General features: G+C 39.5%; 1 protein-coding gene across 8 annotated transcripts in view; it reads right to left on the reverse strand.

Moving 5' to 3' along the window:
- PCNX2 (pecanex 2) overlaps positions 1–17,700 on the reverse strand; it is a 343,895-nt gene that overhangs the window by 164,196 nt on the left and 161,999 nt on the right. For all 8 annotated transcript variants that reach the window (XR_001737430.2, XM_047430870.1, NM_014801.4 and 5 more), the window contains 2 exons: positions 13,641–13,733; positions 12,653–12,803 (listed from right to left, as the gene is read on the reverse strand). Coding sequence is in view for 7 of the 8 variants with exons in the window: in XM_047430870.1 (XP_047286826.1) it covers positions 12,653–12,803; positions 13,641–13,733 (244 nt within the window). In the remaining variant the exon portion in view is untranslated. The remainder of the gene's footprint in view (positions 1–12,652; positions 12,804–13,640; positions 13,734–17,700) is intronic.

The raw sequence follows: 17,700 nt of genomic DNA on the forward strand, positions 1-17,700 counted from the left end.
TTGTTCAAGGTCAACCGTATATCATAGACACAACTTTAAGTCAAGTGATTAAAACATTTAATCTTTAGGAAGACTTGGACTGTAAGTACCATTCTGCTGTCTGACATTAGAACAGCATTTTGTTGGCAGGCCCTGCATTCTATATGGCCACAATAACACATATGGAGATGGGCTGAGGCCAGGGATCTTTAAGAGGTGATAACTGAATCTCTACTTAGAAGCAAAGCAAGATGATAGCTATAAAGGAGCTCTACGTTGGACTTTTGAAGGGAAAAAATCTTTTGGGGAACTGGAAACCAGTTAATTCATAAGTTACAAAACCTTTACTATTATTTTTATAGGAACAGGAGAGTCACAAAAAAATACTGAGTTAGAAACCAGGTTGAACTGCATAATTCAGCTCTAGTTTACTGCCCACGGTACTTCAAAGGAATGAAAGTGACAGCTTCTGACATCTAAATGTCATATAAAAACTACCACTGCTTTCCATGGATTAATTCTGCATCTCTAGATGAGAGGACAGCAAATGTGTTTACACTATGAGCACACACCAGCAAGCGGGAATGAAATAAAACATTTCAGGTAAAGATTCATCCCAAGGCACGGTTTTCCTGGTGGGTGTTGAGTACAACATCTAGTCAAAGCAGAGATGGGAAAAGGTGAGGAAACAAGTTAAAATAAATATCAAGAAATGACAAAGTAGAGAACAAAACCCAGAGATCACCAAGCCCAAACTTTTGACTTCAGGTTCCATTAACGCTGCATATTGACAGGATATTAATTTCACTTTTTTTCTTTTCTTTTTTTTTTTTTGTTTTTTGAGATGGAGTCTCACTCTGTTGCCCAGGCTGGAGTCCAGTGGCGGGATCTTGGCTCACTGCAACCTCTGCCTCCGAAGTAGCTGGGATTACATGAGTGTGCCACTACGCCAGGCTAATTTTTTGTATTTTTAGGAGAGATGGTGTTTCACCATATTGGCCAGGCTGGCCTTGAGCTCCTGACCTCAAGTGATCCACCAACCTTGGCCTCCCAAAATGCTGGGATTACAGGCCTGAGCCACCATGCCCGGCCTTAATTTCACTTTAATTCTTACTTATCTTAGAATCCTCCTACCAATCTCAGCAATTTATTCTAATGACACGCTTCAGTCTCTAGATGAGGAAAACATTTAACAGATAAATGAAACTCATACTGAATGTTTATAGTTGGAAGTAGAAAGGGACACATTAAAAGATGAATAATAATGTAAGAAGAAGCTAAAACAAAAGTGTAAGTCCAGAATTCTGATTCCTCAAAGATTAAACTCACTCCTTTCACATACACCAACCATGAAAGGCTAGAAAAAGGAGGGCTTGCCCATGCAGCAGCACGGCAAATGTGCTTCCTGCATCCCCAGATTGTGTTAGGGTTCACACAAAGTAAAGTCAAAAAGAAAGTCTGCAATGATATTTTGTAACTGCCTTTCTGTAATGTCCCAAATATGCAAAGAGACCATAAAAAAACCAATACTTTAGCATGATTATTTCTCTTTTCTCTGGAATATTAGGTCCTTGAGAAAAAGAATGCAAACTAATTATACCATTTACAAGTTTATATATAACTCATTACAATTAAAAGCTTTAAATTGTCTTAAAGGGTTTCAGGTTGTGTTTTGTTTAGACTCTTTATGCTACTAAAATAAGTTCTTCTCCATAATTAAAAGTTAATAAAAATCCTCAGGATGTTTTCAGCTTTAGAAAGAAAATCTTCACCAATTCAAACCTTGAATTAGGATTTAAGCTGCAAGGATAGAGGGCTTCCTGCTATATAAGGGCCAGATGCATTTCAGTGGGGGTGAGGCTTGAATCAACTATCCCTGGTGTCACCCCTGAGGCATCTGAGGCAGAGAGACTCTGCAAAGTGGAATGAACACATCTGTGCTGTTACCATCCCCTTATTATAGACAATTGCTTTTTTCTGTAAGCTTTCTCACTCTCATCTGTCTTCCTGGGTCAAATCTCAGCTATCATCAAGTTCTTAGCACTAACATGTACACATGTTGTTTATTCTCTAGAAACAGGATTCACTTACAAAACCAGTAGAATGAATGCAGGGTAAAGGAAGTCACATCATCCTTGCTGCTCAAAGCCCTTGATCTCCGTTTAGGATGAACCCATGGTCCACCATTTTTTCTTTTTCAATTAAGTGAATTCAGGGCTGCCCATGGCCCAGTCCCATGCCCTCAATCCTCTTCCTCCACTTATCCTTAAGCCTCAATTTATATATATATAAATTTTTTTCTACTCCATTTCCTTTACTTAGGCCTCAATTTACACGTCACTTCCTCAAGGAGCCCTTCCTTTCCCCTCAGATCTAAATGAAGACTCCCTTGCACTCCCTCCCAACCCCCTATGTGTTTCTTTCATTGTACTTTCTTCCGTGGGATGAATGACCATCTCTCCAGAGGGCTGCAGCCACAGCCAGCGGGGCCAGGACCGTCCTTCTCAGTCACAGGCAGCATTCAGACTTTGTCCATAGTGGCCACTCAGGAAATCTCAGGTAACACACCTGACTAACTGATGGATTAATAACTTAATTAAGAAGACGCCTAGTAGAACAAAGTCTGAGGAGAAGCTGGTGCTTCCCCACAGTGGGTACTGCTTCTTTTGGAGGGTACTGGGTTTGCTTCTGCCCAAGGCATTTCATTTTCTCAGAATATCTACTCTCCAGGTTCCCAGCATCCTACACAGTCCCAGCAACACAATAAATATATTTTGAATGAATTGATAGACATTATTCAGGTTCAACATCATGGTAAATTTCTCAAAGAAATACAAGGTAGGGAAGAGCAACGTGAGAGAATCAGAATATTAAAGTTTATGTTTTTCAAGGAATAAAAACTTTCATTTGTTTAATTAGTGGGTTTTTACTTTGGCATCATGCTTAGAAAATTCTTTTTCTCTTCCTCAACCAAGATGATATAACTTGACCTACATTTTCTTGCAGTGCTATTCTGGTTTCTTTCTTCTTCCTTCATTTTAAAAAACATTTTAAAGCTTTAATACATCTGGAAATTCATTTGATACAAAGTCTTACTCCAATATTTTTAATGTTCATTTCCCCAAAACCATCCCATTGATTTTTTTTTCATTAGTTCAGTGGGAATAAAAATGTGTCCTTCACATTTCCTCAAAAAGCGGGAGAAACTCGGCAGAATCAGTGTGAAATGTGCCTTCTCTTCTTGACAGAAAGGTCCTCAATTAACACCAAACCATAATAATAATATTTAAAACTGAAAAAGCGAATAGAACCACTTGTACCTTTTTCACATGAAAAAGGTTAGATCAACATTTTTACATGAAGAGGGCTAGGAGAGAATTCCAAATGCTCTCACTGTGGCCACAGGGTAGACAGAGCTTCTCGTTAGAATAACCATCTTGCCAAGAGCAAGGACAACGTGCTTACTTTTGCATCCTCAACGCCCAGAACAGTGTCTAGGACATAGCAGGTGCTCAATAAATGTCCAATTCAGAAGAAATCCTCCCTCAAGTAAAGTGTAATTTGTATGTTATTTAAATTACAAGGTTACTTAAAAACACCATTTCTATTTTCTCCATGGCCTATCCATATATCATCCTATCCTAGAGAGCTATGAAGGTTAAGCTACTTCTGATAAGATTCCAACAGACCTACTTTAGGGAGACTGAGTCAGGGCTCACCACAGTGGCCACACCGACTGCAGCTGAGAACTAACATCATTCTTCAAAATGCTCTCTTTAGCCTTTCCCATGTTTGTTGTGCTAATAGCCCAAAGCCACTGTAGGACCATTGTGCATATATTGCACGCAGCATATTAAAACTTCCTGACTTTTAGTGTTAGTTGTTTAAGTATCCCTCCCACTACTGACCATTCATTTTAGCTCCATATTGCATTAGGTTTATCAGCAATTTAAGAGAATCCTAACGGGTCTTGGATAAACACCCTGTGGCTTGCTGGAGAGCTGGAATCTGAGGCTGGCAGCTAACCATTGAGCTCTGTCCCAAGTCCTGTCTTTCTATCTTTTATTTATTTATTTATTTTTGAGACAAAGTCTCACTCTTGTTGCCCAGGCTGGAGTGCAATGGCACAATCTCTGCTCACTGCAACCTCCACCTCCTGGGTTCAAGTGATTCTCCTGCCTCAGCTTCCTGAGTAGCTGGGATTATAGGCACCTGCTACCATGCCCGGCCAATTTTTGTATTTTTAGTAGAGATGGGGTACAGGCGTGAGCCACTGCGCCCAGCCTTTTTAATGCTAGCCCAGTTTTGCCTGAGCTTCTCCAGACCTCCCTCTGCCTCTCTCTGCTGCAAGCAGAGGTAACTGATTTCCACTTTTCTTTTTCCTCCCGCTGCAGTGTAACTTGGCTTCACTGCCAAACCCCTGCGGCCACCTCCAGCCTTGTGGAGACTGACGCAGGAAGATAAGTTTCCCAGTGGACCAGAGGAGATCAGCCAGAGTATGAGAGTGCCTGGCAGGGAGGAAGGGAAAATGAGGGGAAGAGAGGGTGCAGGAAAATAATAGCAACAGAGAGAATAATTAATAAAGCAGGCTTCCAACTGACAGGCTGGTTTCTAAAAACTCAGCTCGAAGTCACTTATTTGGCATTTGAAATGCACTTTCCATACCAGTATCATAGCACATGATGACTATGTTACTTTGCTAGTACTAGTTCAGTTTATGCTTCAAATTATTTTAGTAATTTTGAATTAAAGACACTTTGAAGAGTTTTCCAAGTCTCTAACTACTTCCTGAAGCTAGCATCTTTCTTATGTGGGGAAAAAGGCGAGGTAAGGAATACATCCTTCCTCCTCTAGCCACAGCAAAGAAAGCCTCTTTCCAAAGACCCCTGCATAGTTTTATGTTCCAAAATCAGACAGTGCCTCTCATGCCATGTTACTTTAACTAACACTAGATACATTTGAAAGCATTTTTACATATATTATTGAGTTTCACTTAATTACTGCGCAAATTCTGTGAAATAAGGCATTCAGATAGCACTATGACCTATTGATGAAAATTTCAAAACTGTATGTATGACATGTACATCCAGATTATAAAGGGCCACCAACTGCCTAGCACAATGGGTGCCAGGCACCCACCTCAGCCTCCCAAGGCACAAAGTCAGGTGAAACTGATGAGACTTCAGAACCCTGGGAAGAGGAGGAGGATGCACTTAGGGAGCGCTTTCTGTCTGCCAATGACTAGGCTAAAGGTGCTACATTTCTTCTTCGATTGATTTTATATTTAATGTAGGAATTCCCAATTATAGAAGACAAAACTGAATCACAATGGCGAAGCACACTTAATATGCGACAGAACCAGGGTTTGAGCCCACCCAGTCTTGTCCAAGGCTGGGCCATAACATTATAATTATCTCCTAAACTTCCCAAAAGCTTTCTGCAGAGAAAAACCTAGTCACAAACAAAAGACGAAGAGTCAAAAAACCTCAGACTTTCTAGCAGCAGCAGTGGATGCTGGAAGACAATGGAATAACGCTTACACCCTGGCAGGCTACACACTACAAACTATCTGAAGTATGAAGTAGAATAAAACACTTTGAGCAGAGGAGCTCTTGAAAGTTTCTTCTCATGTGCCTCTTCTCAGGGGCGACTGAGGACAAGCTTCACTCCAAAAAAGGGAGTAAACAAAAACAGAAACTTGCAGCAGGTTCCAGGAGGGAGTCAGGGAGGGAGGACGGAGCTAATAGATTATGTGACAGATTCGTCTGTGTGGAAAGTTGGAATGAGAAATATACTACATAGCTATTGGAATGGTGAGCAAATACAAAAACAAACATTTGAATAAGAAATATAATCAAGGTCTATACTACTGGACTCAGAGGTGAACAACGTTTAGACTTAAGAGTTAAAAAAGAGCCTGAGTAGAAGTTCAACAAATATATTAAAACTATATTAGGAGAAGGAGGAAAGTGAAAATGCTAATGCATAAGGGAAGATAAGAGAGATAAATTCTTATCTTTTATAATGGAAAGTCAGTAGATAAACAAATCTAAAATACCAAGAAGTAGCAGAACACGCACATGATCATTATTTAGAAGAATACCAGAAGAGATACCTTAAAGAGCAGAAAGTATTTTTTTTCTGTACAGGGAAAATCAGAAATGGGGCAGGAGGGTGGAGTTGACAGGAATCTGCTGCTTTTCATTACAACTTGTTCTATTTGATTTTTAATACTATGTATTATTTTGATATAAGTGAAAAATACATTATAAAAAGCAAGAGCTCTCAGAATCATGTGCATCACATAGAAACTAGTCTATCTGTAAACTGAGAGACAAGATTTGCTAAAATGCAAAGTAAATCTCATTTAAGAATTGCAAATTTGGGACCCATTAGTGAATGTTTTGTAATAGTGGATTTTTTTAAATTACAATTTAAATAGATGTTTAATTGATGTGTTTTTTTGTTTTGTTTTGTTTTATTTTTTGAGAGGGAATCTTGCTCTGTCACCCAGGCTGGAGTACAGTGGTGTGGTCTCGGCTCACTGCAACCTCTGCTTCCTGGGTTCAAGCGATTCTCCTGCCTCAGCCTCCAGAGTAGCTGGGACTACAGGCGTGCAACACCAAGTCGAACTAATTTTTTGTAATTTTTTAGTAGAGACAGGGTTTCACCGTGTTAGCCAGGATGGTCTTGATCTCCTGACCTCATGGTCCACCCACCTCAGCCTCCCAAAGTGCTGGGATTACAGGTGTGGGCCACCATGCCCGGCCTATGTGTTTTATAATGTATATTATCCTTTTAAATGTATTCTAATGCATCCAAAAAGTATAGCTTAAGCTTTTCAGTATGGCACAGAGGTACATGTGAATCCTCCAAACTACCCTTTACTTCAAGAGGCTTTGTATGCCCTTATCAGCCTATAGAAAACCTTCCTTTAGTGAATTTACAAAGCATTAATCATTAATTTTCTCCTCCAATGTTTACTGACTATCTGCCATGCACCAGATATCAACGCAACATTTAATTATATAATTCCATATATTTTCCATTTTATATGCATATCAATAAGTTGGAAAGATTTAAGCAATGATACATGAAATTAATTGTAAGCTCCTCACTTAGGATATTAGCCTTTTACTTCTTTCTTTTTACTTTGTTTTTTAAGAGAAAGAGTCTTGGCCAGGCACGGTGGCTCACGCCCATAATCCCAGCACTTTGGGAGGCCGAGGCAGGCAGATCACTTGAGACCAGGATTTCGAGACCAGCCTGGCCAACATAGTGAAACCCTGTCTCTACTAAAAGTACAAAAATTAGCAGGGTATAGTAGCACACACCTGTAATTCCAGCTAGTAGGGCAGCTGAGGCATGAGAATTGCTTGAACCCAGAGGGTGGAAGTTGGGTGAGCTGGGATCGAGCCACTGCATTCCAGCCTGGGCAACAGAGTGAGACTCCGTCTCAAAAAAAAAAAAAAAAAAAAAGATACAGAAACTCGTTATGGGGCTCCAGCTAAAGTGCGAGAGTGCGGTGGCTATTCAATAGGCACTATCATAGTGCACTACAGCCTCTAACTCCTGGGCTCGAGTGATCTTCCTGCCTCAGCCTCCCAAGTAGCTGGGACTACAGGCACATACCATCATGCCCAGCTACTGTTTCTTTGTCTTTCCTGCAGGGCGGAACCTAGTGTCACGGCCCACATTACTGTATGTGTGTAGCAGTCACAATTCTACGGTGACACAGCCATAGGCTTATTTACCAGATTATAAGCTTTTGGATGACAGGAACTACATCTTAGTCATTCCTACGTCACTGGTTCACAGGGCTTGGCATCTTGTAGGAACTCAATAATTATTTTCTGAATGAGTGACTAGTATATCCATAAGCATTTTCTATGTGAATAAACAAGTAAATAAATGAATCTCAATACCATACTTATTCCTTGTCTCAATCTCTTTTAACTCCATTGTAATCCATTTGTATGGTAAGAGTACAGTCATCAAATCAGGTCACTATTTTTAATTCTTAAAAGCCAAGAATCATAATATTATGGAAACATTACCTTGGAGGACCATGTGAAATGTGACTCAACCCCAATATTTGCTTTTTGAAATAATTCCTTTGGAAAGTTTTAAGATAAAACAAATTTTCAATCAGGTCCAACTTTGTACTTCTTTATGACTGGGATCAATCAATAAAGTCATTTGTCTGGAATCATTATAATTCAGGAAAATTAATTTGCTTTATTTTCTAAAAATATGAGTACTCCTTTAACATTTAGTGTCAAAAACCCCAAGCTAGAATAATATGCAGTTGCCTATTGTGCTGTCTTCATGTTCAGCATGATTAACTTAGCTTGGGGGGAAATATGGCAATTTTTTAAAAGAGCAACTTCACATATACACATTAATATAACTCAGTTGTGTCCCCATGACCATCATGATTCATCTGATGCTGAACTGTACTATAAGTGATAGAATTTTACTCTCCTAATTCAAATATTGGTGAAACAGCATATCAAGGTTGGGAGGAGATAATATTTACTTTCAATAAATTAGTCTCAAAGGTAAAGAATTAAATTGACTAAAAAAGATATGTTTCAACATGCAGTCTTCAACTTCAGTTATAATATCTATTTCCATTTATCACAGTCTGAATTTTATACCAAAATTATTCGTTATCTCCACATTCTACCAAGTAGAAGTACATATTCAAAGTATGCAGAAAGGAAAGTAAGCCAAAAGGAAGTATATGCACCAAGTTTAAAGTTTGTTCCAGCGACTACAGAGTGAAGTGATGATGGTTACATTAAACGCAGTTCAGCATTTGTGAGCCTCCCTCTCTACACCCAAGCACTGCCGTGAGCACTGGAGGAGGAGTATGCGCTAGCTGACATGGAGCTCAGTCTACCTTAGGCACCAGTGGTTTCAAGTGGTTATGGAAGGGAGGCTCAGGGAGCAGTGGGGAATCTATTCAGGTTTAGGTGGTCGGGGCAAGACTTCTCTGGAGGGGCCGATTTTAAACAGACGTGGGCTGGGCACGGTGGCTCATGCTTGTAATCCCAGCACTTTGGGAGACCAAGGCGGGCAGATCACTTGAGGTCAAGAGTTCAAGACCAGACTGGCCAACATGGTGAAACCCCATCTCTACTAAAAATACAAAAATTAGCCGGGTGTGGTGGCGGGCACCTGTAATCCCAGCTACTCAGGAGGCTGAGGCAGGAGAATCACTTGAACCCAGGAGGCAGAGGTTGCAGTGAGCCGAGATTGCACCACTGCCCTCCAGCCTGGGTGATAGAGTGAGATTCAGTCTCAAAACAAACAAACAAACAAACAAAAAACGCAGAGACTTGAAGCATGAGCAGCCTGGTGTCAGTCTAGTGAAGCTGGAGGAATGGCATCCTTAGTAAAGGGAGGAGCAAGGACAGCAGAGTGTTTGAGAAGCCACAAGAATGCCTAGAATCGATTGTGGAAAGTCTCTATCAAATCAGGGAAGCCTGGTAGTGTTAGCATGAGAAGATGGCATGTCAAACTTTACAGGACCTACTGTGACTGTAGCCTTATGGCTCTTCTGGGTAGTGATGATTGCAAAAACAGCCTTAGAGCCACATTCAGTCTATACATGATTGCCCACCCAGAATGAGAGCAACATGGGTAGTGAAATGACCTGGGCTCCAGTCACTCACTGGCCACAAAATCAGTGGGACCCAAGTTATGTTTCTGTCCCTAGGCTTCAGTTTCCATCTATGTAAAATGGTGGGATAGGATTATATAATAAACTCTAAGACAGGGGCAGCACATATGCCTTATCTTACTGTTCCAGTTGATTAGAAATGTCTGCCACCAGCCCAGTTCTAGGACTCTGTTCTTGGTTAGTGATGTCTGCCCTGGAACCACTGTGTCCCAGCAGTGGGCTACACACTAGCTAGTCCTGCTCTGCCCTGCCTTCTTTCCCAGTGACAATATTCTGTGCTCCTATGAGAAAGAATATGTGAGCATCACTTTCACATGAAAAGCTGTGTGCCTGGCCTGAGTTACCTGTACATGTTTTGATGCTGGTGGAAAAAAAATGAAGAGTCAAAACCTAAGAGGCAGAAGTCCAGGAAGAAGAGGCAAGGAAATTCAGGACACAGATGGCACCAGAATGGGTAACTGGGCTTAAATCATCTTTAAATTTTGTGTCTGTGGGTTTTCCTTCTAATACACCTAATTTTGAAATGGAATCTGTTTTTCGTCATGTGCCTAATTTGTCTAACCTGTGACTCCCGGCTAGATTTCAGGCTGCTTATAAATAGCTAGTGTAGGTAGGTGAGAAACTTGCACAGAGCCTCTGCCTGACACTGTGTAAGCAAGTGTGGACCCCTCCCAGCCTACTTCTATGGGATACAAAAGGACTCTGTGCCACCCACTCACTCATCCTCCGAGAGGGGAAGTCAGAAACACAAACACACTCACTTTACTTGTTCTTGAATCTTGTACTAAAAAGAGCCATGTAGGCTTGAAATAGCTAAATGATTTTAATTTAAATGGGGCTGTCTTAGATGCAGGAGAGAAAAACAAAACAAAACAAAACAAAAAAACCAGAAACCGAGTTGTTAATGGCCCACTCCTATCTTTCACTGTTGAATTCTACACTCTGAACTGCCACACACTAAGGGAAGCCCAAGTCTAATCTGTCTCATTTTCCTTTCCTTCAGCTTCACAGGTTCTCTTTGCACACCCCAAGGTATTTAAATATGTACATTTAACAGGGGCATAGGCATAGTTTAAGAATAGGTATAGGGAAAGGCACAGGTATAGGTACAGGTAAAGGTAAAAGTATAGGTATAGTCATTGGTACAGGGAAAGTTATAGATACAAATAAAGGTATAGGTATAGATAAAGGTAAAGGTATAGATACAGGTACAGGTATAGGTAAAGATAAAGTTATATAGAAGTAAAGGTAAAGGTATAGAAGTAAGTATTGGTATGGGTATAGGCAAATGTGTAGGTTACAAACAGGTAAAGGTATAGATATAGACAAAAGTAAAAATATAAGGAAATGTATAGGTAAAGGTATTGGTACAGGTACAGGTACAGATATAAATATAGATATAGATATGCAGTTAAAGCTTCTTACTTCAAATCTTCATCAACTAACTTAACAATAATGTCAAAATAACAAACCCCAAAACACTCCACTAATTTCACCAACACTTAGTCTTTCTAGAGGTTTTTGAATGAAAGGGAAATATAACCTGAAGGCTGCAGAAGTTCTATAGAAACTGGTCTTTTTCATCAGGGTCCTCTATGTATCCAGAAGCAGTCACCTGTTGGGGTAGGGACTTTCCTCTACAAGTGGACTAAAATATACAAACCATTATAGATGGAACCTTCTGTGAGTCTATCTTCTTTCAGTTTTTCTAATACTGATAATAATTTGCATTTCAGTAGTACACGGAATTGTACAGAACGTTTAAAACTATGCAGCTCCATCTTTATGCTGGCTCCTGATTCTGTAGGTGGGAAGAGTAAGTCTCCAAGGGGAGAGAAGTCTGAGTTACCCTCCCTGCACTTCTAAACCCCAGCAGCCCGACGAGGCCATCTTTCTCCACTGAACAAGCCAGTTTTTCTACTTGGGCTGTTTCTAACTAAGGCGGCTCCTTGTGCCCACCCAGAGATGTTCCTTATGGAAGCACTCTCTATTCTGGACAGCATCTTCAGTGACTCTTGCATATTTATTTTAAAAATTATTTTCCCCCTTTTCCTTTTGTCACACCAGTCTACTGAAGTTGCTGGTGACAAATTTGGCTGAGTTCAGTACTTTAAGTCCACAAACCTTGGTGCCCCTCACTTATCTTTATGCTTGGACATATAGACAATTAGATAACTCGCTAACAACTGAGAAGTTACAATAGGCTAAACAGCTCTGTGCAGAATCAGCAGCATTAGACAGCAGTTATAATCTATGAGCAATAACTTTGATGGGTCTAAAACTGTGGATAAATCAGTCTTCTTCCATCCATTCAAGCACAGAACAGGGAATTACAGAGCAAGGAAAGATCTAGCAGAAAAATTTCTAGAAGACTTCTTATCTAGAAGAAATCTATTTCTTCTCTAAGGCTGTGAAATGGTTGTGATTACCAGGCTATTACATGATCATGGCCAGAGACACCCATGGAAATTGCCAAGTCAACCACGTGTAGATACAGGTGTAGGCCTAGATGAACAAAGCAAGCTAAAGAAAATGCAAGTGTTCAGGAGTGTGTAAAGTTATTGGTCAGGCCCTTCTCCATCCCCATCATTTCATGAAGGATGGGAGCATGGTCAAGGGATGCTCTTCTTAGGCCCCAGTCAGTTTTTGTGGGAACAGCATAATCTTCAACTGTGAATGATATAATTTTTCCACAATACCAATAGCCAATTAATATTTTTAAAAAACATTCTTCTGATTCACCTGGCTTTAACTTTCTTGTTATGGTTGGCTAGAATATCTGGGAACAAATACCATATACTCTAAGGTACACGTTCTCCTTTTTTCTTTTTTATTGTGGTAAAATACACATAATGTACCATCTGCCATTTTCAAGTGTACAGTTCTGTGGCATTAAGTACATTCAGACTGTTGCACATGCTCTCCGGTTTAATGTATACCTACCCCTCCTTTTTTTTTTTTTTAAATGAGGGATATATTACTAACCTCTCACTTCCCGTTGATGATACTCTTTGTTTTTGAGAATGGGGTGTGAAATCCACATCCAGGGATGATGCTTGCGGAGCTGAGGGAGCACGTAATGTGTTACAAACCCCACGGCTCCAGCCAAGGCAAACAGCACGATGCTGAGAAATGGCTGCGATAAAAATGGGCAGAATCTCATTACTTAGCCTAGAGGATGGGGAGAGGGATGCCCATGAATAATACATAACATCACTGTCCTTCCACTTTTTCCTCTTAACGGATAGCCAGACTCAGTTCTTGTTTCAGGCCTCTGAAAATGTCTTCTCTATACCATGAAATTGGTTCATGTGTTGGAAACCACTATGAGGGTGAGGGAGAACTAGCCTATGGAATACAGAGGCCAACAGAATTATGCCCCTTGGAATACATTTTTAAAATTTTCCAATGAGGAGGTGAAGAATAACCCATGCAGCTCACAGACATTTCCTCATGAAAAGGGGAGTTCATGGATGGACAATATTTTTGTATAGAGAAAGCAACTGTCTGGAAGGACCACAGCCAGGAATCCCATCTGGAGCTCCCCACTTTGTTTTTCTAACTGAAAATCCTTTTCCCATAGTCCTTTTGGCTCTGTGACCTCTGCCTCACCCCGATACGGTGACTCCTCTTTTCTCTATTCATAGTAGAGCACTGTTAGCCCACCATATGACTATTAACTGTCCTCACAGTGGATTCCACAAGATGTGCCATCATTCTTGCAAACAAAACAGCTCCCCAGATGCAGGAAAGGGTAAGGATAAAGCAATCGAACCCTATCTGTGATGTGGACCAAGTCACATCTTGGACATAACTGTTCACAGTACATGGATTCATTCCCTAAGCCTCTCAGCGGGCATTTTGTTTTCTTTCTCTGGCTCACGTGTCTTGTCAATACCCTGTAGCTCCATGACAGCTTTGTTATTAAGGAGAATAAGGGGGCAGGAAGAGTACAAAGTTGGTGGATACATACTCGCAATGACAGGAATACAGTGCTGGCGCTGACTGCAAATGAGAGGACAGCAACCACTGCGCAGACGATGAGATCCCATTTTAAGACATCCGTCTGGAAAGAGAAAACCAGCGGTAAAGGCGACTCTTCATTTCTCTCAGCAACTCTGTGTAACCAGGTAAATCAAGCAGCAGGACATTGACCCAAGATAAACTGTTTTTCCAGCCCATCACTTACCTGACACACTCATTGGCACATACTGGATGGGCTGTTCATTAGCTTCTGCTTAGGGAATTTCAGGAAGACTAAGGTGGGCTGGGGGAGAGTGGTGGGGGAGAGGAATCACACACTGCAAGGTTAGTGTCTGGGTGCTAACCATAGAAAGAAGAAAGGTTTTCTACACAAGTAAGAGGCATGAGGTTCTTGTAAGGTTCTTGTATCTGATCTGTGTTTCCACAAACACAGATCAGATATGAGATTCCCAGAGAGCTCCCCAAAGGGACTTAGATAAGGTCTGATAAAGGAGGTCAAAGTGCTAATCATCTCTATGTGGCTTTAGGGTGTCTTGGATTTTAACATTCCAAAAACCTGGCTAAAACAAACAGAAACCTCTTATACGTTTCTTATTGCTTTGGACTAGACCAGATTTTGCATTTTAATTTACCAGTCAGATCACTGGTGAATTAAAGAAACCACTTCAAAATTATTTTTTATATATATATATATTTATATATACATATATTTATATATACATGTATGTTTATATTTATATATATACATAGATATATGCAAGAGGTACACACATTACATGCAGACAATGAAATGTTCAGTAACTCACTAATACTTTTTCATACAAAACTGTAGTGTAAGCAGTGGCTAGGGAAAACAAAGCAAAGTTCAGCCTGAGAATGCTGTGAATGCAGATAGATGGAGAATGGCCTGTTAGCTCCAATGGAGCACAATATTGCTGGCTGAACAATCTAAAGCAAACAGGAGGAACCATCACTTCTTTTCTCTCTGTAGAGGTGGATTAGTTATATTACACAATTATTGATCATTTGAAGGTATCACACTGTTACCTGAAAAGTCTGAAATCTTCAATACATTTATACCTCCCTTTCTCATATCGAAGGGATTTATGCCTTTTAAATCACTGTTTTTTAAATTAAAATGTGGGGTTTCTTGCAAGTCATGCTCCTTCCTGGCTTGCTGACCGTATTATCATCCAAAGTGATAAAAAGAAACAGTGAAAAAGTCGGGACCCTAGATTTATTCATAGTAATTAATGGTGTCTGATTTTGGGGCAGTGATAACCATAGGAATTTAATTCTGAATCTATGAAATGCTTGTGATCAGAGAAATTCACCAAAAATTTACTTTAGCAACAGGCCATATATTGCTTCCTATCATTCCAAATGTTTAAGAAAGACCAGACCTTTCTAGAGGAACATTCTGTAATTCACTGCATCTTTTGGCTGTGGGGAGATGTTAATTTTTCTCTCCTATTTTTCATTAACATGGTTTTATGTCATTTAAAAATTACTGAATGTTTATCTGAAAGAAGATAAACATTTTCCCGAATATTCTAATTTAAAATCATGTGTTATGTTTAACTGACTAATCATCTTTGTCTAAAAGGAAAACAGTCGGCCACCAGTATGACTGCTGGAGTGGGGAGGAAGGAAGGCTGCATTTCTAAGTTTCTTAAAGCAGAAGCAGGAATGAGCTCGAATTATTATTAACCTTTTTTTCACAGTTGGATGATATATGGGAATTCCACTGTGATTTCTATCAGTGTCATGAGTATCCCGTGTAAATACAGACCATTACACAGCCTTTCTCTATTTATTAAAATGTTCTCTCCACCCATTTCTTTCCTATATTATAATTTCTAAATAGTTATTGAGATAAAATTGGTACCAAAAAGCCACATATATTTAAAGTGCACAACTTAGGCCGGGCGCTGTGGCTCACACCTGTAATCCCAGCACTTTAGGAGGCCAAGACAGGTGGATCACTTGAGGTCAGGAGCTCAAGACCAGCCTGGCCAAACATGATGAAACCTCTGTCTCTACTAAAATACAAAAATTAGCCGGTTGTGGTGGCTCACACCTGTGGTCCCAGCTACTCGGGAGGCTGAGGCAGGAGAATCGCAGAACCCAGGAGGCTGAGGTTGCAGTGAGCCGAGATCACACCACTGCACTCCAGCCTGGGTGACAGAGCGAGACTCTGTCTCAAAAAAGTAAAAGTATACAACTTAACAAGTTTATATGTATATTTTACATGTATAAATTATATAACATATATATAATTCTGGTTATGGTTTTATGGGGATATATATAAATTATGGGACTATATATATCCCCATAAAACCATAACCAGAATTATGATAACTAGCACATCCATTACACCCCAATGTTTCCTCTTTTGCTTCTTCCTAATCTATCCCTTTCCTCACTATAGCCTTGACTTTCTGTCTTTAGTGATCCTTCTGCCTCAGCCTCTTGTTTTCATTTTCTAGAATGTTATATACATAGATTCATAAAATATGTATGGTCTGGCTTCTTTCACTCAGTGTACTTATTCTGAGATTCATCCATGGTGTCGTCTGTGTCAACAGTTCATTCCTTTTCATTGCTGAGTAGTATTCCTCTGTATGGATATACCACAATGTGTTTATCTGTTCACCTGTGGGTAGATGTTTGAATTTGTTCCCAGTTTTTGGCTATTTGCAGCTAAATAAAGCTGCAACAAATATTCATGAACATTTCCCTGGACATGTTATTTCTTTTCTCTTGTGTAAATACCTAGAAGAATGGCTGGGTTATGTAGTAGGTTTAGTCTTAACTTTTTAAGAAACTGCCATAATCCAATTAAAAACTGGGCAAAGGACGTGAATAGAAATTTCTCAAAAGAAGACATACAAACGGCCAAAAAATATTTTAAAATGTGCAACGTCACTAATCATCAGGAAAATGCAAATCAAAACCACAATGATATACCATCTCATCCCAATTAGAATGGTTATTATCAACAAATGCTGGTATGGATGTGAAAGAAAAGGAACCTTACAGACTGTTGGTGGAAATGTATCTTGATTGCTACAGCCATTATAGAAAGCAGTATGGGGAGTTTCCTCAAAAAATTGAAAACGGAACTACCATATGATCCAGCAATTCCACTACTGTGTGTTTTTCGAAGTAAATAAAATCAGTATGTTGAAGAGATATCTGCACTCCCAGGCTTAATACAGCATTATTCACAATAGCCAAGATATGAAATCAATCTAAGTGGCCATAAACCAATAAATATATAATATATATAATCACATTTTATATATGATACCATTTTTGCATATGATATATATGAAATATATATCATATATAGAAAATATATAGAAAATGTGATATACACAAACACACCCCCATGGAATACTATTCAGCCATAAAAAAGAATGTAATCCTGTCATTTTGCAGCAGCAACATGGATGAACCTGGAAGACATTATGTTAAGTGAAATAAGACAGGCACAGAAAGACAAATACCACTGAGTTCACTTATTTGTAGAATCTAAAAAAGCCAATCTCATAGAAGTACAGAGTGGAATAGTGGTTTGTAGAGGCTGGGGAGGGGAGAAGGAAGGGGGAGGAGAGATTGTTCAATGAATACAAAATTATAGTTAGAAAGAATAAATTCTGGTGTTCTACAGGATAGTAGGAAGACAATAGTAACAATATCATAATGTGTATTTCAAAATAACTAGAAGAGAGGATTCTCAATATTCTTACCACAAAGAAATGATAAATAAGTGAGGTGATATTTTAAATACCATAATTTCATCATTGCAGAATGCATACATGTATGAAAACATCACAGTGTACCCCCATAAATGTGTACAATTATTGTCAATTAAAAGCAAAATTAAAAAAAGAAACTGCCAAGCTGTTTTCAAAGTAGTTGTAACTATTTTACATTCTCAACAGCAGCATGTGTGAGTTCCAGTTGCTCCATAGTCTTGTCAATAGTTTTTAAAATTTTAACCATGCTAGTGAATATATGCCTCCTAGGGCACATTTTGCAGT

This window comes from Homo sapiens, chromosome 1, assembly GCF_000001405.40.
Source record: "Homo sapiens chromosome 1, GRCh38.p14 Primary Assembly".
In the NCBI taxonomy this organism is placed as follows: Eukaryota; Metazoa; Chordata; class Mammalia; order Primates; family Hominidae; genus Homo; species Homo sapiens.